The sequence below is a fragment of the Homo sapiens genome, chromosome 2, assembly GCF_000001405.40.
Source record: "Homo sapiens chromosome 2, GRCh38.p14 Primary Assembly".
NCBI lineage: Eukaryota > Metazoa > Chordata > Mammalia > Primates > Hominidae > Homo > Homo sapiens.
The window spans coordinates 36764787-36786382 of NC_000002.12; the positions used below are offsets into that span (position 1 = coordinate 36764787).

The 21596-nt window shown below is 44.5% G+C and overlaps 1 protein-coding gene and 1 long non-coding RNA gene across 15 annotated transcripts in view, besides 1 other annotated feature; one reads left to right on the forward strand and one right to left on the reverse strand.

Annotated features, from left to right (window-relative positions):
- The window catches only part of LOC124905990 (uncharacterized), a 118030-nt gene that overhangs the window by 75378 nt on the left and 21056 nt on the right, over positions 1 to 21596 (reverse strand). The window lies entirely within an intron of this gene.
- Positions 1 to 21596, forward strand: part of VIT (vitrin) — a 118088-nt gene that overhangs the window by 68080 nt on the left and 28412 nt on the right. For 2 of the 14 annotated variants that reach the window (NM_053276.4, XM_017004327.2), the window contains 5 exons: positions 2308 to 2499; positions 9005 to 9061; positions 10216 to 10281; positions 16941 to 16985; positions 18554 to 18616. In NM_053276.4, the coding sequence (NP_444506.2) occupies positions 2308 to 2499; positions 9005 to 9061; positions 10216 to 10281; positions 16941 to 16985; positions 18554 to 18616 (423 nt within the window). Of the gene's footprint in view, positions 1 to 2307; positions 2876 to 9004; positions 9062 to 9101; positions 10132 to 10215; positions 10282 to 16940; positions 16986 to 18553; positions 18617 to 21596 lie in introns of those variants that run through there. The other 12 variants (NM_001391966.1, NM_001391967.1, NM_001177969.2 and 9 more) reach the window with 11 other exon arrangements.
- Positions 6018 to 6067: an enhancer, noted in NCBI's record as "active region_15577". NCBI's record gives its function as "activates an Ori minimal core promoter by ATAC-STARR-seq in GM12878 lymphoblastoid cells {active_cell/tissue: GM12878}" and the evidence as "EXISTENCE:reporter gene assay evidence [ECO:0000049][PMID:35858748]".

Consider the following 21596-nt stretch of genomic DNA (forward strand, 5'->3'; position numbering starts at 1 on the left):
GCGGTGGGTCTAAACACCCCACCACACATTTGTTTGCATCACTTGTCCAGGACTATGATTCTGGCACTATTTTCCTGGATGTTATACAATGTCAAAGGGGAAGGTGGATGGTTCCCACCAAGACAGAAGCACCTTCTTATTTCAGATGCTATCTTCTTGGTCTGCTGTGCTGTGTAACAAAAATGTATCAACCCCAAGCAGAGTTAAGGCCAGAGCTGGGATGCTGTGGTAGGCTGAAAAACACCCTGGAAAAGATATCCATGTCCTAATCCCTGGAACCATTGAATGTTTCCTTATATGGAAAAAATGTGGGGAGCCTTTGCTAATGTGATTAAATTAAGGATCCTGAGATCGTGACGGGGCGGTTATTCTGGATTCCCCAGGTGGGCTCTAAATGCAATCACTGGCATCTTTGTAAAAGGAAGGCAGAGGGAGATTATTTCACATCCATAGAGGAGGAGGTTGTATTAGTTCGTTCTCACACTGCTATAAAGACACTACCCAAGACTGGGTAATTTACAAACAAAGGAGATTTAGTTGACTCACAGTTCCACATGGCTGGGGAAGCCTCATGAAACATACAATCATGGCAGAAGGGGAAGCAGGCATGTCTTACATGGCAGCAGGCGAGAGAGAGAGAGAGAGAGAAAGAGAGAGAGAGGAAAAACTGCCTTATAAAACCATCAGAGCTTGTGAGAACTCACTCACTATCATGAAAACAGCATGAGGGACACCGCCCCCATGATCCAATCACCTTCCACCTCATCCCTCCCTTGACAGGTGGGGATTATGGGGATTACAATTTGAGATGAGATTTGGGTGGGGACACGGACCCAAACCATATCAGAGGTCATATGACGACGGAGCAGAGAAACAACTGAAGATGCTGGCCTTGAAAACTAAAGTGGCATGGCCACAAGCCAAGGAATGCCAGCAGTCAGCAGAAAGCAGAAGAGGCAAGACACAGAGTCTACCCTATAGCCTCCTGAGAAAGCTCAGTGTTGCTGACACCTTGAGTTTGACCCAGTGATGCTGATGTCTGACTTCTGGCTTCCAGAACTGTGAGAGAATAAATTTCTGTCATTTTAAGCCACCCAGTTTGTGGTAGTTTGTTACAGCAGCCCTAGCAGCTGATACAGGTACACAGGGACAGAAGCTGGCATGCCCCAATGGGGCCCAGCAGGCACAAGCAACAGTGGGTTGTTCCTTCCCAGGACCGAGGAGCTGTTCACTTTGGGGGCCACTGTGTGTCTCCCTGAGAACTCACAGTTCTCAAGACAAACCCCAATGCCCAGTGGGTAGCCACTTGTCCCCTTGCTCTAAACCTTCAGAGATATTCTCAGAGCACTAACAAACTGAGACTTGCTTTATAGGGAGCCAACTACAGCGGTGTTTAAAAGGAGAGAAGTGATCTAAATCATCACACGTGGATGAAGAGCACCATTTAGAAGTCGAATCTAGGCCGAGCACAGTGGCTTGCACCTGTCATCCCAGAGCTTTGGGAGGCTGAGATGGAAGAATTGTTTGAGGCCAGGTGTTCAAGATCAGCCTAGGCAACACAGGAAGATGCTTTCTCTACAAAAAAAAAATTTTAAATTAGGCAGGTATGGTGTCTTGCACCTGTAGTCCCAGCTACTTGGGAGGTTAGGTGGGAGGATCACTGTACCCCAGAAGTTCGAGGCTGCAGTGAGCTATAATTGTGCCACTGCACTGCAGCCTGGGTGACAGAGCAAGATCCTGTCTCAAAAAAGAAAAAAAATGTAGAATCTGGATCATCCTTGCCATCCAGGTAGTTCTATTACCCCATTTTACAGATTAGGAAACTGGGGCCCAGAAGAGTTGACTAGTCATGAACCAACCTAAACCAGCGCATCTAAAACGTATTCTCTAAGACTAGGTCATAATGAAAGCCCCAAATGCACCTTCTGTCTTCTATTCCAAGGCCAATGCTAATCAAATCAGCAAAAAACAAAAACAAAAAAAAATGTACATAAACCATTGCTAGTGGTGCCAGGCAAATTAATTCAGCAATTAATCATGTTCTGCCTTGTCTATGTTCTATGTTGCTATAGTTTTGACCTGTCATTTATTTTATTGCTATTGAATCTTTGGTTGATTGAGTGATTGCTCTGAGAGCATACATTCTTTCAGGCAAGAATGTGGCTGTTACCTGGGTTTCACCCTTCACCGTGGCTAGCACAGCTCTGTGCTCATAGCTAGTGTTCAATCAACATTTATTTTATTTCTAGTTCTATAAGAGTGTACAGGTTATTTTGTGGGCCTTGGTATAATTCCATTTTCTTACAGGTGAGACCACAAAAGCCTATCAGAGGCCACCTATTCCAGGGACAACTGCACAGCCGGTCACTCTGATGCAGCTTCTGGCTGTCACTGTAGCTGTGGCCACCCCCACCACCTTGCCAAGGCCATCCCCTTCTGCTGCTTCTACCACCAGCATCCCCAGACCACAATCAGTGGGCCACAGGAGCCAGGAGATGGGTCAGTAGGTAGACCATGTGTTGCTTTGTGCTAGGGAAATGGGAAATTGGGCTTTTAGAGTAACAGCTCTGTCTGAGCATCTACTGGGCTGGGTGAATGGGGAGCACTGGAGAACTGGGCCGGGGGTATGTTATTTGTGTCCTCCTCCTAGATTCAAGGGAGGATGTAGATTCAAAAATAAGACTGCTGTCACCGTACTTCTGAAGATAGAATACTTTCCCATTGCAAAATCTTCATTTCTCCAAAAGCTCAGTTGAAGGGATGGTAGATTTCTATGTAAACATTGTTGGGGTTTATTGTTGTTGTTATTGGTTTTTAAGTGACAAATGGTACAGACTTGGAAGTCTTCAAATATTAAAAGCAAACAAAACCAAAAGAATCCCTTTAGGAAAAGTCAGCTAATGTTTTTGTTCCTTTTCTGATGGTTTTTTGTCTTACTACTTTTACCCATTGCTCAAATCATGTTGAAGGTTTTATCAAGGTCCAGTTTATGGACTTCATCTCGTACTACATCAAATAGGGCCTAAGGAGCCCATCTGATCATCTGATCTCATTTCTGCACAGACTTATATCTACACCATCCTAAGTTAATAAGCATCTATCTCACTTCCAGAACTTTTCTAGCAAGGGGGCGAAAACTTCTGCAGCTGGAGTTCCACTATTGTCTTAGCAATGTTTTCTGAATATTTCCCACCTGGTGCCACTTTTTCCTTCCAGGAGGAAGTGCTCTGGACTTGTTCTTTTCAGGCTCGCCTCCAGCTTGCAGTCACTACTGCCACATAGCATGACCCTTCCCCCTCTCCGCTCCCATAGCAGAGGCCAGCTACCTACCTATCCATCTTCTTATTTAAAAAATGCAAATCAGGCTGGGAGCGGTGGCTCACGCCTGTAATCCCAGCACTTTGGGAGGCCGAGGCAAGCAGATCACTTGAGGCCTGGAGTTCAAGACCAGCCTGGCCAGCATGGTGAAACCCCATCTGTACTAAAAATGCAAATATTAGCCAGGTGTGGTGGCACGTGCCTATAGTCCCAGCTACTTGGGAGGCTGAAGCTGGAGAGTCGCTTGAACCTGGGAGGCAGAGGTTCCAGTGAGCCGAGATCGCACCACTGCACTCCACCCTGGGTGACAGAAAGAGACTCCGTTTCAATAAATAAATAAATAAAAATGCAAATCAGCACTTTGAATATGCTAGCCCATCTTCTGAACACCTTACAAATATTAGCCTATTGAATCCTCCGTAACAACCCTATGAAGTAGATTTATGACTTCCAATTTCAATAATCCATTGTATTGATGAGGAAACCAAGGAGTAAGGCAGTGAGGAAACTGGTTCCAGCCTACACAGCTGGGAAGTGGCAGAACTGGAATTCAAACTCCAGCAGCCTGGCTCTCCTCTTCCTTGCAGGGGAGCATCCCTGCCAAAAATGAACACCCCAGGCCCAGGCAGAGCACATTTTGGCATGATTAGTATGGCAAAATTAAAAGGTGCTCAGCACAGCCAACTTCTTCTTGAATTAATAATAACAGAATGCATGTAGTACATATATCTCATTTACCAGGTATACTGCATGTATTATCTTATTTAATCTTCCCAATAACTTTTTGAAATAAGAATTATTATTATGCTATTTTATGGACGACTCTTTGAAGAAGCTATGATATAAAGTCCCAGAATAAGAATACCGCAAAAAGAATTTTTGGTGTTCTGAAATACATCAAACACTCCTCCACCATTCTGTTCCTGTTTAACTCAGGATAATATTAACACAGGTGCACAATACTTGACAGCAAAAGAGAAACAGGAAGGATGCTGGATGGCAAGGGTTAACAGGGGTTCTGTAGCCAGAAGTTCTCCTTTCTAAAATTTCAGGCTCTTGACTTCAGATGCCTTGATTCTTTCAAAGATTTTTGAGTATCTGAGTTAGTTGTTTGCTCCTGTTTTCTCCTTAGAGGACTTTAAATTCTTACATAACACATATAATTAAACATGTGGCATATTTATTTGGCTACGCTGGGAGCTTGGAAATCTGTTGCAAGTTGGGCTCTGCTGGTGGAAAACCTAAGAAACTTGAAGTAGTGGCTCCTAACCTGGCAAAGCTTCTTTATTCCTGGCTTGGGAACAGGAGCTTTGGACAACAGCCTCCTGGCCCATCAGTGTTCCTTCTTCATCCTTGTCCAGAGCCCACTTCTATGGTGATCCACAGACTGCTAGACAAACGCTCGGAGCAAGCAAGCCATGAAGCATGCACCACAATGGCTAGGATAGGAACCAAACTGGGGAAGCGGGGAGAGCTTTTTAAAAGTTGTATTGCCTATTCAAAGGAGTTTCTGAAGGCCTAAAAAGAAGTGAAAATTAATATTTAATTGCTTATGTCTTCTTAAAATAAAAGTATTCATGAGAGACTTTCCAGAAACCATACAATTCACTCATGTAAAGTACAAATCAATGGTTTTTCGTATATTCATAGGGTTGTGTGACCATCACCACAATCAATTCTAGAACATTTTCATCCCCCAAAAGAAATCCCGTGCCCATAAACAGTTACTCATCATTTCCCCAACCCCTCCTCCCCAGCACTAGGCAGCCAATTGACTTGCATGAATGCCTATCTTAAGGCTATAGATATTTGCTGTGATATTTCAGTCCAACTATATTAAATAATATTTAGATAAGTCATGTTTTTCCTTCAAATGGGCTGAAAATTGGAAAGCAAATCTCCTTATACTGTGATAGACAAGTGAGCTGCTGTTATTGCACTTATTAAAGATTTTTCCTCTTATATATGTGGCTGTAGGCAAAAGGTTCTAGAACTGGTTGTGGACAGGGTGTTCAAGCAAAACCTAATTCACTTATTCATTCAACAAACGTTTTATGGAATGCCCACTATGTGTCAGGCACTGTTCTAAATCTGGGCTACATCGATGAACACATCCCATCAAGATCCCTGCAGCAAGTCGCTTCGGCTTAGGACACCTGAAGGGTATGTAGCCAAAACAGGAGCTACCTGTGTTTGGGGTCTGTGAGTCATTTGTACTCCACAATGGGATCAAGATCTGCCTCTGATACAACACATGGGAACTTGGAGAGGGCTCAAGGGAGAGCGGAAAGTACATAGCAGGAAGACACAGGGGTTCTTCCAGCCCATGCAGAGGAGCTGATGCAGGTGGAAGGTGGGGCTGGACACCAAAGCCGCATCATGGCCCCTTAACTGACCCATAAATGTGCACACCAGCAAGACAGAAGGGAGTGAGTCAAGGCTGGGGGTAAGGGAGCCGAAAGCCAGAGCAATAGAGACTTCCTACAGGTGCAGGAAGGAGGCTGTTCTTCATGGGAAAGGCCAAGGACAATGGCATCAGAGGGGGAAGCCGGGAGAGCCAGATCTATAGATATGCTTAGGAAAGAGTTCTGGAAAAGACAGAAAATCCCTCCAGGTTCAGCTACAGGTCTGGGTGAATCTACCACAGGCTAAGGAGGTGGAGTGGCTGTGTCTTCCTTTGTTTTCTTAATCAGGTTCATTTCAAGACATGCCATGGTTGCCTCAGCTGAGCTAGCATTGAACTTGTCCACAACCAAGGGTAGACCAGGGAGGGGAGAAGAGCGCCGCCTAGTGGCAGGGAATAGCGATGACAGAGATCCTCCACCTCTCTACCCTGGGCTCCACCTTCTGACCAAGGACCGCTAAGCGGGAGAAAGTGAAATTTGAGGCAGGAAGAGAGGCCAGCATCTTATCACAGCTCATTCCTTCCACATACAGTTTCCCTTACCAACACTCATCTCACCAGTGAAAGCTTATCTTCCTTAAGGTATTTGGAGAAGGCTTTTCTTAAAATCCAGTCTTACAAATAGTAAGAAAAAGACAAATATTCCAAAAGAAAGATGGGGAAAGGCCATAACCAGGCAAGCCACAGCAGAAGAACTACAAATGGCCAATAAAAAAATTGTTATAAAAATGTTCGGCTTTGCCGGTCCCGGTGGCTCACGCCTGTAATCTCAGCACTTTGGGAGGCCAAGGCGGGCGGATCACGAGGTCAGAAGTTCGACCAGTCTGGCCAAGATGGTGAAACCCCATCTCTACTAAAAATACAAAAATTAGCCAGATGCAGTGGTGTGCACCTGTAATACCGGCTACTCAGGAGGCTGAGCCAGGAGAATCGCTTGAACCCGGGCAGCAGGAGTTGCAGTGAGCCGAGGTCGTGCCACTGCACTCCAGCCTGGGTAATAGAGTGAGACTTCATCTCAAAAAAAAAAAAGAAAAAGAAAAAGAAAAAAAAAAAAGATGTTCAGCTTCACCAGGAATCAAGTAAGTACAAATTAAACAACAAAATATCATTTCTCAGCAACTCTCATTGGAAATCGATAATACACAGTTTGGATGAGAGTGTGGAGAAATGACCCAGAATTCACACTTCCAGGAATATATCCTAAGGTAATTATCAACCCGGGGTGAGAACAGATGCTGTTCATAATTTTTTAAAGGAGATAATTTACTTATTTATCACTAGAAGAATGGCTAAAGAAGTTACTATACAGGTAGTAAAATGTTGAGAAATATGTGCGCTTAGTGCCACAAGAGAATTGGCCTGGGGCAGATCATTCAGTCAAAGAAGCAGGCTACAAAACAGCATGGGAACCAATCTCATTTTTGCAACGTGTGTTGTACATGAGAGCATGTACATCCCACAGAAAAAGGGATACAACTCTGTATGCCAGAATTGTATACCAGTAACTGCTGGCTAGAGGATAAAAGGTGATTGCTTACTATGCATAGTATATCATCTTATTTTTACAGTAAGCCTATGTTATCTGCATAATTAAACAGAAAATAAGGCTGCTTTGAGGCTGGGCGTGGTGGCTCATGCCTCCCTAATTCCAACACTTTGGGAGGCCGAGGCAGGAGGATCACTTGAGGCCAGGAGTTCAATACCAGCCTGGGCAACAGAGCAAGACCCCTGACTCTACAAAAATAAAAAAAACTTCCGTGGCTCACGCCTGTAATCCCAACACTTCGGGAGGCTAAGGCAGGCAGATCACCTGAGGTCAGGAGTTCAAGACCAGCCTGACCGACATGGAGAAAACCCATCTCTAATAAAAATACAAAATTAGCCGGGCATGGTGGCACATGCTTGTAATCCCAGCTACTCGGGAGGCTGAGGCAGGAGATCACTTGAACCTGGAAGGCGGAGGTTGTGGGGAGCCGAGATCATGCCATTGCACTCCAGCCTGGGCAACAAGAGCGAAACTCCATCTCAAAAACAAAACAAAACAAAAACTTAGCAGAGCATGGTGATGTGCACTTGTAGTCTCAGCTACTCAGGAGGCTGAGGCAGGAGGATCACTTGAGCCCAGGAGTTCAAGGCTGCAGTGAGCTATGATCACACCACTGTACCCCAGCCTGGGGGACAGAGTGAGAGCCTGACTGAAAACAAAAAATAAACAAACAAACAAAGAAACCTACTTTGAAATTGTGTCAAATAATTGGAACATAGACAAAAAGAGTCAAAAGCTGATTTTGGATAACTCCAGTTCTAAGACAAATTGATATTTTTTTCCATGCCCTCTTGCTCTTCCCCTTCATGACATTTGGTTATTTCCGTCAGCTGGGTTTTACGTGCCTCTCTTTCCCTTCCAAAGGCTTTGCATTTCTCTTAACAGAATGTTTTATCTCCCTTCTCCCTTTTAAAACCTTGCTTTAGAGAAATTGCTCAATAAATAATGAATGTTGAAGTGTGTTTCCTTCGCTCACAGAGTAATTAACGATAACCCATTGTGTACCTCTAAAAATGATGAAAAGCTAATTCTATTTGCATCAATACCACGTTAACGCAGCTTAAGCAAATTGCTGAATGTTAAGTGACACTTCTACTGAAGGATTACTTCAACCTCCCCATGAGTGGCACAGTTGAGAATTATTGTAAGAATAATGAAGTGTAAAGAAATATGGCATTTGACTAAAAGATAGATACTTTGATAGTTGTGAAATACAAAGGTTATTATTACCTGTAGTTTTTAGTTGGTGTTTTAGGTTAAATACTCTTTTTTTTTTTTTCATTTGAATTCCTCTTCCAAGGCAGGTTTGGACTGCCCAAATATAGAGCTTCACCTTGTTTCCAACCTTGGTAATGTCTTGCTAGGTTGGATCATAGAAAGAATGAAAACAGTCAGGTTAAAATTTATTGGCCGGGTGTGGTGGCTCATGCCTTGGGAGGCTGAGGCAGGCAGATCACTTGAGGTCAGGAGTTCAAGACCAGCCTGGCCAACATGGTGAAACCCCATCTCTACTAAAAATATAAAAAATTAGTTGAGCCTAGTGGTACGCACCTGTAATCCCAGCTACTCGGGAGGCTGAGGTGGGAGAATCGCTTGAACCCGGAGGTTGCAGTGAGCTGAGATCGCACCACTGCACTCCAGCTCTGGGCATACAGTGAGACTCCGACTCAAAAATAAATAAATTAATTAATTAATTAAATAAAATTCATGCTCTGACCAGTCAAATGTCCTTACAGATCTCTGGTCCACTGCCACCTACACAAGCAGCCAAAACAGGCCCAGAGCTGATCCAGGTAAGACCTTAAACTCCCTTTCCAGCCACTGATGAAAGTTAAGCTTGTTTACATGCGGTTCCTCTCCACATCTTTGCCATTTAATTTAGATTTGGACAAGGACTATTAAACCACTTAGGCCAACAGAAGATGCCACTCAAGGGCCCAACTTCTAAGAAAACATGTAAAGAAGTGGTTAAGTAAGCAAAGCCCTGTCCCACTCTCTGTTCCCCTGAAGCGAGTCTGTAGAGGTTGTGATAGGAATGTCTCAGGATTCAGTAACCGGGCTCTTACAGACCTGAAAAGGGGCACTCTCTGGGGCTTATTTTTGAGGAACTACGGTAAAACACGAAGGGAAATTTGTATCATCTCCCAGGAAAGAGGATTTTTTTTCTCTCTTTTTTGCCTGAGTAATTCTATGCCACGGGGGACAGAAACACATTCTCTCTCCCCGGGAGTTCACCTATGAATTCTGAAATGCCCCTGGCTGTCTTCATTTCTGTATGGTTTGGCCGAAGAACTAGGAATCCAGCAAATTCTCTTCTCTGCAGCACTGTTAAGGCCTGCAGAGATTAGAAAGGAAAATCTAGCAGGGTTTGACGGTTTCCACAAACTCTACTCACAGCCCGGTCTATGAGCTGATAGACTTGGTGGAAGTATACCATTCCCTCTGAAGCCACAGGACACTAGGATCAGAAGCAGGTCTTCTCCCTGCTGGGGGATACTCGTCCACTCTCCACATGTTCTTAGAAACTGTAGGTTCTGTTTTGCTTGCTACTGGATAGGAACAGGGGCCCAATGGGCTCCTCTGGTCAGGGCGAGCAGCTTCTATGAGCTTCACAATTGCACCTTTGCCAATGCACATGCTGTTGTCCTGGACAAAAAGGCTTGAGAATGAGAACACTGGCCAGGGCAAGGACTCCAAGGCCATCTTAGGCCTCTACAGACTCGTGGGACTCTACAGGAGCCCAATCCATGGAGCACTGTTTCCTCCTGTCCCCTTGGCCAAGATTTTTGCCTCCTCTGCAACCCCCAGAAGTACAACCAGGCACAGAGAGCTCGGCCGACTTCCAAGGAAAATCTGAACTAAGGTAATTTTCACCGGGGGCAAAATAAGGAAAGAAAGCAGCCTGCTGGTTGTGTGTAAATCGGCTGACCCTGTGTAATCCCCTCAGGTATCCAAAGGCAAGATCCTTCAGGAGCTGCCTTCCAGAAACCTGTTGGAGCGGATGTCAGCCTGGGTAAGCTGCCCACTGCTTACCATCTCTGCTCCCTAGGAATTTGCTCTGTGGCACTTTGCAAACATGAGGACCTCCCCACACACTTGTTCTTGGCCTCTGCAGCTCAACTTCAGGTCACCAGAGTTTGGGAGCATGCTAAGATATTTTAACCTCGAGAAAATGTCTCTTTGATTGATCTGTTCTCAGTGCATCAAAGAGAAAATCTTTGTCAACGAAGACATCCAAGGGCTGTCATTACTTTATGTCTCCTCAAGAGGTTCCCTCACTAAGCAGCCTCTTTGCCTCTCTGCACCTACCAGGCCCATCCTCAGACAGTCCTCCAGGATAAAGCACAAATACCCAGATACAGCACATGGTTCGGATATGGCATGGGGGATGGTTGGCAAGGAGGCACATAACCTGATTTGCATCTTCAATTTTTTACTGCCTGACAATTTTGGGTTTGTTTCAATGCTGTATTCTGCTGAATGTATTTGGCCTCATTCCCTTTTTCTGAGTTTACCATCCTCCAGTTCTATAGCTCTGGGATTCTCTGTTTCTTCTCCATTCTCCTTTATGCTCCCAATAATGCCACTCTGTCTCGACCCACACAGATGTTCCTAGATGTTCCTTTACCTTCAAATCCTACCCAATTTCTGCTGCTTCTCTCCTCACCATCATCCCTGCAACTTTGCTCTGAGTGCCTCAGAGTCTCCCATGAACTCTCAGAGTGTTCCTGACTTAAAGGACTCCCCCAACACACTCTAGGTGCTCAGACCTAGACTAGCTATGAAGCTCCATTATGGCTCCTACAGGGGAAGGAAGCCATTTGCACACCCTGAGTAAAGGCAGGTAAGAACATTTGGAGTTCTTAGATATCCTTCGACCAACTCTCATCTCAGATGCAGTCATGTATACAAGGCAAGCTGCCCAGTTCCTCAGCTATAAAATCGTCAGATTATGGAATTGGAAAGAATTGTATAAAGTACATCTGGTCTAACTTCTCACCTGAAAATGAATCACTTATGGTGTGCCAGACAGAGGCCTTTACCCTATATCGAATAACTTCAAGTGGTAGGGAATTCCCAGCCCCTTCATTTGGTGGGTGGCACTATTAGACGTAACTATCCAGAACTTCAGCTCCTCATTACTAATTTGTCTAAACCAGTGGTTCTCAAAGTGTGGTCCAAAGACCCCGCTTTCAGAGATTCTGTGACATCTTCCCTTCTCTGACTACATGTTGTTGTGAGGACAGATTTTCTCCACATATTTCAACAACAACAACATATCACAACTGACTGCAGGAGCTGATAACAGACTCCAGCTATCTTCTATTATGATAGACATTGGAGACATTTGCCACTCTTCTCACTGAAGCCTTGGTTTTAGAAAACAGTTTTTTTTCAGTAAAAATTAACGCTTACATTAAAATATAATAATTCTATTGTCACTTTGAAGTAAATTAATAGTTAGGCCGGGTGCGGTGGTTCACGCCGGTAATCCCAGCACTTTGGGAGGCCAAGGCAGGTGGATCATTTGAGCTCAAGAGTTCGAGACGAGTTTGGCCCACATAGTGAGACCCCGTCTCTATTAAAAATACAACAATGAGCCGGTGGTGCGTGCCTGTAATCCCAGTTACTCGGGAGGCTGAGGCAGGAGAATCACTTAAACCTGGGAGGCCGAGGGTGCAGTAAGCTGAGATGGCGCCACTGCACTCCAACCTAGGTCACAGAGTGAGACTCCATCTCAAAAAAAATAAAATGGCCTGGCGCGGTGGCTCACACCTGTATCCCAGCACTTTGGGAGGCCAAGGAGGGCAGATCACGAGGTCAGGAGATCGAGACCATCCCGGCTAACACGGTGAAACTCCGTCTCTACTAAAAACACAAAAAATTAGCCAGGCGTGGTGGCGGGCGCCTGTAGTCCCAGCTACTTGGGAGGCTGAGGCAGGAGAATGGCATGAACCCAGGAGGCGGAGCTTGCAGTGAGCCGAGATCACGCCACTGCACTCCAGCCTGGGCGACAGAGCGAGACTCTGTCTCAAAAAAATTAAAATTAAATAATAAAATAAAATAAGTAAAAATAAAGTAAATTAATAGTTAAACAAATTGTCAGTATTCTGTTTCAAATGAGAAAGTGCACAGTTGTAATTTCTAAATGATAAAAATTAATAGATATAACTCGTACAAACTAAAGGTCTTTGGGGTCTTTGACAATTTCTGAGAGCATAAGAAGGCTGAGAACCTTTGAGAGTGCCTTAAATTTGAGAGCCTTTCAAATACATGAAGCTAGACTTCATGTCTTTTTTTATATCTCATCTTTTCCAGGATATCTCTTTAATCCCTCCAATAGGTCTTTGCTGGACTTGGCAGTACACCCTCTAACTATGCTGTAGACTATTAATAATTCATACACCAGGGCACCCCGAGCAGAACACAGTGCTGCCAGGGTAGTGTGCCAGGCAATTGCCTCTCTAGTCCTCAATACTCTGCTCCCACTAAAACACCCCAACTTCCATTTGGGGTAAGGCTTGTCTCACCACTGGCTCATCTCCTACTGAGCTTGCAATACCTAAAGTCGCTGGGATTTTTTATCATATACCTCTGTAGAAGCAGGTCACCTCAATCCTGTCTAGACACAATCGAGTTTTTGAAGCCCACACTGGAAAATCACATATCTCTATTAAATCCTTCCTTCGTTTAGTCGGCTGCAATCTTCCTGAGTATTCGTTCTGTCATTGAATGTGTTAACATCCTTGTAATCTTTGTGTCATCTGGAAAATGGATAAACGTGCCACCTGTCTCCATTCCCTTTACTGATAAAAATATATCACATGGGGCAACCGAATCCTGCGATCCGCACTAAACACCTCCTTTGTGTTTAGATCAACCCAGACACAAGCAGTTACATGTGGACCTGATGATGCTGTCATCCTCCTTTCTACAGGACACCAGGTGTCACCCATGAGTGATTCCTGCCACTCTCTCCCACTATGCCTTCAGCCACAGATATAAATTCATGCACCCCCCATTTAAGCTGAAGCTCTCATATGAAGGGGATCTGTTATTTAATTTTTAAAAAATGTACTGAGCATACTGTATGTCAGATACTGTCCTGTGCATTAGAGCTACAAACACGAATCAAGTATTTTCAAATTCTAGAATTATGCTGCTGGGGCTTTTGCCTTCACAGGCCCCACACTCTCCTACTCCAGAGTCATCAGCAACACCACTGCCTCCTACACACTGCGTCCCCCACTGCCAGCCTTTACCCCTCCTACCACGGTTCTGGGAGTTGGGGCAGGCTACTCCTGCTGTATGGAGGAGGCAGGGGTGGTGGGCTCCTGATAATTCAAGTTAAAACCTGGTGGCTTTTCCTCAGAACCATCCTTATGCTGGTTGGCTTCTTGGTACCATGAGCTGTGTTTGAGTCAAAGAAGCTTCACTGGTCTGGAAACCTAACCATGGAGTTAATGTTTCCAAGAGAAAAGGCTGCCAGGTTTCCCAAAAAATACCCCACACCGAGCCTTGGATGGTAGCCCATTTATAAACCTGGGACTGTCGACGCTTTGTTGGCATGATGGCTTACGCCCAGGACCCCAGACTGTCCTCAGCCTTCTCTGAGAGTCCTTGTGTGATGCGCTACCAGCATGGCGACACCCTGGGCACAGCTGCAACAGCCCACCCTCTTAGTGCTCCCCACTTCGGTACAGCAAGAAGCAGCTCTCCAGGGAAAGTGCAGCCCTTGGGACATGAAGCCAGGTGAAGGGAAGGGAAGCCTAGAAATTCTGCTGGTCCAGATGCCTGCTGCCTTTCAGAGCCACTTCCTCCTAAAGACTACACCCCAGGGGAGTCACTGGGAAGAAACGAGGGAGCTGAAGGGACACTCGGGCTTCTGTCTTATAAAATTTGAGAGCCCAAAGGGCCATGTTTGCAGCTCTTGCTTGGGTCCCGTGTTGGTGACTTCTAGATGGAACAGAAGGAGCTGGAACCAGCACCAAGATCACACCACAGTCTTAGGAGCAGGCATGCTTCTGGGCCCTTTTGAAGACTTGACTACATTAGCATGAGTTGCAGGTGGCTGGGCCAGGCCCAGCTCTTCAGTGCCCTAACCAAGTACCCCGAGGTGCTGAAGCGATGATGACTCCTAGTGTGTGATAAACAGATGGTGGTTAGGGGTAGGCTTTGGAGCCTGCCCGCATGGGCTTAAAGTTCTGTTCTGCCACTCCCTGTGCATGAGTTTCCTCACCTGTAAAATGGGATCATAGCTGCACCTAACTCACTGGATGATTGTGACTTAATACGTAGAAAGTGCTCAGTCAGTGCCTGACACTAAGCAAGCTCTCCATAAACACCAATGGCTTCTACATTTTTACCCCAGAAATCATTCAGAACCAATATACCTTTGTTTTTTTAATTTCCAACTTGTATTCTAAGCTCAGGGGTACATGTGCCAAAGGTGCAGGTTTGTTACATAAGTAAATGGGTGCCATGGTGGTTTTCTATACAGATCATCCGATCACCTAGGTATTAAACCCAGCATCCATTAGCTATTCTTCCTGATGCTCTCCCTCCTCCCACCTCCCAACCCTCCAACAGGCCCCAGTACGTGCTGTTCCCCACCATGTGTTCTCATCATTCAGCTCCCACTTGTAAGTGAGGACATGCAGTATTAGAACCAACACTTCTTTTAGACCTGACTGTATCTATGAGATGACCAAGCAAGAATTGTCACAAAAACACAAAAATAATTCCCTGGTTTTCTAAGAGTGACTTACACTTCTCAGAGTGATTTTATACACATTTACCTCCTTCAAGTCTCCTCCATGTGACAGTGTAGGGAAAGTCTTTATGACAACCCTACACTGCAAAAAACTGGAGGCAAACCTGGAAAGAAAGTAAGTGAGCCCCCCAGGCTCCCAGTTGGTCTTTGGTTGACCCAGGATGGGCTTCTGATGTCTTTTCTTGATACCACCCTGTTCCTCCTTGACGCCAGAATACAAATGTTCTCACAAATTTACTTCTCATTACTACTGAGTCCAAAAAACACCAAGTCTCAGCTGTCCAAATATTTTTCAGCCTTTGGCTTTTGGATGAATGTAATTTGGTTCAAACTTGTCCCAAACAAACCGAAAGTGGCATGAATATAAGGACAGGCTTCTAGGACAGGAGCAAGAGGCTTGGAAATCCCTGATGTTGGGGGACTGTTTATCTCTTGATAAAGTAATAGAGCACCCAGCATCCTAATCTTCCTGACATTCAAGAGTGCATCGGAAGAAGGAAAAAGAAAGCAAGCAAGCCTTGGGCAAAAAGTGAGGGAAGCCAGCAGCACATTTTTTTAGGAAAAGGGTAAAGTGCATATTTTCACCAGTAGGTGGCGATAAAGTAATAAGGCTAAAGAAGCAGGATGTTCTTGATCAGAATGTTTAAGCAAGTCATAAATATCTTGAATGCGGAGACTATCTTGCCCAATCTGCTTATATTACTTACAAAGAAATTAAGGCTCACAAAGGGTATGTGACTAGCTCAAGGTCACACACCTGGTTAATGACCGAACTAGATTAAACTCAGGTCTCACCATTAAACCAGAATGTGCAGTAACAGATTGCCTTTCAAAACTGTCTGGCATCTTCATCACATAAAGAAAAATATCACCCTTTTTTCAGTGTGTTAGTAATTTCAGCTGGCAGAAAAGCTGATAGCCTTTAAGAAATAAAACAGTTGATCATGCTCTCAACTTTCTGAGCTAAAATAGAGAAGGAGGGAGGGTGGGATGGAGGGAGGGAGGGGAGACATGGAAAAGAGAGGAAAGGAGGGAGAGGGGCAGAAAGAAAGGGAAACAGCCATTTGTGTGTTATAAGGCTTCCTGACACATTTGTGCTGTCCCTGAGCCCCTCTCAGCCATGATTTTCCAAAAAAGATCAGAGATTATTGAGTAAGACTCTCCTCCTCCCCTCCACCCCTTCTACTTCATTAGCACCAGTTTGTGGTTGAAGGCCATTAAACATCTTACTGCATACAGGTCCAGGTGCTACTTTCCTTTATTCTGCTTGAGTCACACAGTGAGAAGCAGAATCTCGGGAAATAAGCGGATTGCCTGATCTCTGAAGGGGCCATATTTGTTCAGTGTAGTTCCAAGGAAGGGAATTCAAACAGGTGGGACAAATGTACCTAGAACGATATTAGGCATATAGTGAGTGCTTAATAAGTGTGGATGTATGGATAGATGGGAAAGGATTTAGGGCAAAAGATTCAGTCTCAACAGTGCAAGAAGGAATCTACTACTTTGGTTGAATATGTAATGAATCCCCTGTCTCTGGAGGTATCAAGCACTAGCCAGCCACTCACAGGCCAGGGATGTTGCAAAAACAGATTGGGAGGTGGTTTGGAGTGGATGAATTTTTAGTTCCTTTTGAATCCAAGGATTCCCATTATTCCAAGATTCTTGGTGCATAATGAAAAAGAAATTGGTAAAGATGTTTATGCCTTTGACTTTAAGAGCTTCAGATTTTAAAAAATCATACAGATTTCAGGTTGCTTCATCCAAAATTCTGGCCCTCTGTTCCTTTATTGAACTTTCAGACACAATTGGGAAACCTTATCATCCCGGCAATTCACTCAAGAGTTTCTGCTGGTTTGGTTTAAGTAACAAGTTTGTTTCTTTTCAATTTTGAAAATCAGGAGAGATGGACTCATGGAAACCTGGATCGGTCCTTTTAGATGAAGGTAATTATACAGCCCAACCTCTCAGCCACGCGTGGATCAAGATGCGCAGGATAGCAGAACTAAGAGTCTAATAATCCAGCTGGCATAGCGGCCGAGCTCCACTAGCCTAGGATTTCTAATGGCTCCCGCCTCTGATTTAAGGGTCCTACAAAGGGCACATTGAAACTCCCTCCCTAGGGAGGCCTGGGGTAAGGGGCAATATTGGATAACAAAAGGGAGAGAGGAAACGTGAAGACAAAAAGCCAGAAGGGAGCTAGTTTCCCACCCTCAAAATGGGTTTGGACCCTGACTCTATCTGGCAGCACACTTTAACTTCCTCCAACTCCACTTCCTCCTTTGCAAAATGGCTTTCAGGTTTTCCCTTCACGAGAATGGGTGTTGTTTGCTGCGTACTGCATTAAATATTTGAAACTCCAACACACAAGACCTTCCAGCTCTTCATGGGAGGGAAGATTGTACTGGTAGGGGAAGAAGGAGGTGAAGGAGAGGACTCCGCCTCTGGACTTGTACTTCTCCCCTTCCTCCAACGCAGAGTCTTGGGGCGTTTCCACGACAGGCTCCTGGCTGAGAAATGCTGTTAGCCACCCAAAGTGAATGTTTAAAATGATGTGAGGAAGTGGGATGAGCTAGCTGACCTTTAACGGAAGGATGAAATCATGTGCTTTGCAAACTGGAAAAAATAACAAGCCAGTAGAAAGCTCACTGCAGCCAAGCGCGAGCGAAGACCCCCGCACCTTCCTCCACTCCGGGGAATCCCGGAACTTCCGGGCCTCCTGAAAACGGGGAGACTCACTTCCAGTGCTGCAAGCGTGCTCTGCCTGGGAAGCCCATTCGTGTTACCAAGCCTAAAAGGATTCGCTTTTATTGTCTTTATTTCTTTAAATGGTATATTTATGAACTTGGCTCCCATGTACATGGCTCTAAAGACACCCCCTTCCCCAAGGCTGAAATGCAACTCACACACACAGCTTCTGAGAGCATGAAACCTTTTTGAATCTCTACTTCTAGTCTCAAACACCTGGGAGGGAGGAGTTGCATTTTAAGCCCTCTTATGTGAGTTACTTTTAAATAAACTGTCTTCCTCCAGTCCACATCCAATCCTCATTAGATTGTCCTTCTTGTGCCTTACTCATCTTCGTTCATTGTGTCAATCACCAAATGTTGACTGAGGACCTACATGATCTTGGCACGGTGGAGGTTTATTCGAGCAAGACACATTCTGTGGCTCAAGATTTTCAGAATTTTACAGAGACATAATTTACAATGGCCAAGTGCTTAACGCTTTCAGATGACAAAACTAAGGCTCAGAATAAAGAATAAATTAACAAGAACAGAACTCAAGTCTCCTGATTTCAAATCCCCCAGCAGAGTACTATGTTTTTGATAGGCTGTAAGTAAATATTAATTTATTATTTTTCTCAGGATGGGGGTGATGTGAAAAAAAGCACAGTTAGCTTTAAGCCAAGCCCCCAAGCTGGGTGTGAATATCCATTATGTCCCCTCCCATGGGGTAAGGCCAGCTGCTTCCTTTCCTTGTAAGTCACCAAAAGTTTTACTGCTCTTTCCAGGACTTGTTCCAAAAGAAGAATTGAGCACACAGTCTTTGGAGCCAGTATCCCTGGGAGATCCAAGTAAGTTAATTGACAACTAGAAACCCACGGTGTCTTTGACATCTGAACTGCTCTCTCCTCTCTTCCCACTCACTCCCACTCAAACCTGCCTCTCTCCTACCGTGGATCTATTTATCTCCTCTCTTCTGACACCTTGTTCTAAGGGGAAAGGGAAGCTTTTGAAGGATATAAACTGTCTATGTGCATGAGGGGGAGAGGATCAAAATGTTTTAACATCACTATGGCAACAGGGTGAAGAATGGGATGGAACGGAAAGACAAGGAAGGATGAAAGGAGGAGACGGGCAGGTTAGCAGGGGCAATGGTCTACTGCAAATGATGGTGGCCAGAACTCGGAGTTGGAAGTGGAAATGAAGATAAATGGGCATATTCAAGAGATACAGAGAAGGGAGAATCTATAAGATGGAAGGTGGAGGTTCGAGAGAGGGAGAAGTTAAAGATGAGTTGAGCGACTAGGTAAATGGTACTACAATGAGGAACACTGGGGATGAAGCAGGTTTATGTCTATCATTTTCTTCGAGACATTTGATCTGGTAGAGAGAAGACTACCCAGGTCTGACATTCAGAAGGAACAGCCCAATCAGAAATTTAGAGTTGTAAGACAATGAGCTATGGTTCGAAACCGAGGCTATGAGAACAGAAAATGTGACTTAGGGAGACACAGTAAAGTAAGAAGATACAGAAGACTTAAGCCTGGAGAACAACACTAGGTGGAGGAGAAACCACCTGAGGATATCAGAAAGGAAGAACCAGAGAAAAACAAGGAAAATGAGAAAGACATAGTAGTAGCCTGCAAGGTATGGAAAGAAAGCACCTGCATATTCCGCTAGAAAGTCACTACTAGTCAGCCACCAATGGACAGTGAGGCTCAACCTTGCTGCATATGAGAATCACCTGAAGACATTATTAAAGATGCCCATCTTCCTGCCTCATACCTACTGTATCAGGTTCTCCCTAGACCTTGCTACCCAAAGTGTGGTCTGGAGACCAGCAGAATCAGCATCAGCATCACCAGGGAGCTTGTTAGAAACACAGACCTGCTGGTTCTACAGTGATTGATTCCTTTGCACATTTACCCTTGAGAAGCACTTTACAGAGTGAATCCCAGGAGTCTTCATTTGTTGAAGCTGCATTAGCAACCCTGATATGTACATGACTGTGGTATGTATCCAGAGTTAAGAAACACTGGCCTGATGTATTGGACAACACAAAGCATTAGTCTATAAAATGGTACCATGTTGAAGGAAACTACAGCAATTAAATACATTGATAGAGTGATTCCCATAGATACTATATCTTACTTTCTCTTCCTTGACTTTCAACCTCTGATCTCTTCTTTAGCCATAATAAATTGCTCACACTGAACATTGTATAACCCAATTCTACCTGTTAGCACTGATGCTGGCATCTTCAGATCAGAATGTTTTCACCTCTATATAAGAAAGTCATGGGTCTCAGTCAAAACATGCCCTGAGCTGGAACCATTGTCATTTAAAAGAGGAGCAAAAGTAACCGTGGTATCAGCCATCAGGCCAGTGAGTAAAGAGAATTAAGCAAATAGAGAAACAGCTCACCTTCTTAAGACCTAACTATAAGATGAATACGTTAATCCTGAAAACAATTCCAGATGTAAGAAATAAGGAGAAAAACTGCCTGTGAGGAATCAAAATAGATGCTACAATATCCATGTACTTTATTCATGTAAAAAGAAAATCCCCTCTGGCCCTTACTCTAATTAACACTTGTTCCCAAAAATACTTTATTCCAAAAGGTATATTGAACTAATCTGCTGACATCTGGAAGGGAAACTCCACCTCAGGATTACTTCTCCAACTTTACTGTGCACAGGAATCACCTGGGGATCTTGTTAAAATGCACGTCTGTCTCTATAGGTTTGGGTGGAGCCTGAGAGTCTAGCAAACTGTAGGTGCTAGTAGGCGGCAAACCCTGAAGAACTCCACTGCCACCTGCTGGCAACAATTCACACTGCAAGCCCCGCCAGAAAAAAAAAATGAGTTGGCCTTGCTTGGGAATCCACAACATGATAAGCTGCATATGAGAATCACATGCTGCTTCTCCTTTCCTTTACCCCAGGTTTTAGTGGCATTTTTCAACTCTGCTTCTGGACTTTATTTGCCTCTTTCATTCTTCATCTCAAGATCATGCTTGGGTATAGGCAGTTTGGGGACAGCAAAGGACAAGGGAAGCCAGTTGAAAAGGATGAATTGGTAGGCACTGAACGCCCAGGCAGACAGGAGGTAAAAGCTTTTCTTTTGAGATTTGCTACTGAGCCAAGGTACAAACAGGTGCCCTGATTCTAGATGGAGTGAAGTCAGCCAGTGCCAGACGGGTCCCTCTCATCTCCTACTTCCCTGGTTTTGATTGCCATGCAACACTGCAAGATAATAAAACACATTCTCAGGTATAACTTTTCTCCTAATCACAGTTCTGCAGTAGCACTCAGCAATAAATATTTCTCATCAATTCTTCTGCTCAAAACTTTGTCAACTCATGTTCATTTATTGCTTTCATCTTTAAAACAATTTTTTAAAACCAGCAACAACCCTCTCCACCTACAGAGCTTCTCCTCCTGAAGAATGGGAAGACTCCAGCTCTGTGGCAACAATGCACCGTGGAGAACATGGGTGGTTGTGTGCAGATTAGAGAGGTGCAGGTCCGTCTGGCCGCTGCTCCCCACCCACAATGGGCAGTGCCCCAGTGTCCTCTCGGATACACCAGCCTAGAAATTTCCAACTTTACTCACTCTTTTTTTTTTTTCCTATATGGAGCTCTGTTTTGAAACATTTTTGTCTTCTAAATTGCAACTGTTAAATAATTTATTTTTCACTTTTTACTAATCAAAGGGATCTATAGCTCCCAATAAGAACCTCTGATCAGCACTGAATAGTCAGTTTTATACTGAGATGATATCATTCCTGTCTACCGCAAAGGAAACACTAATTTCCATTAGCCTGTGTGGC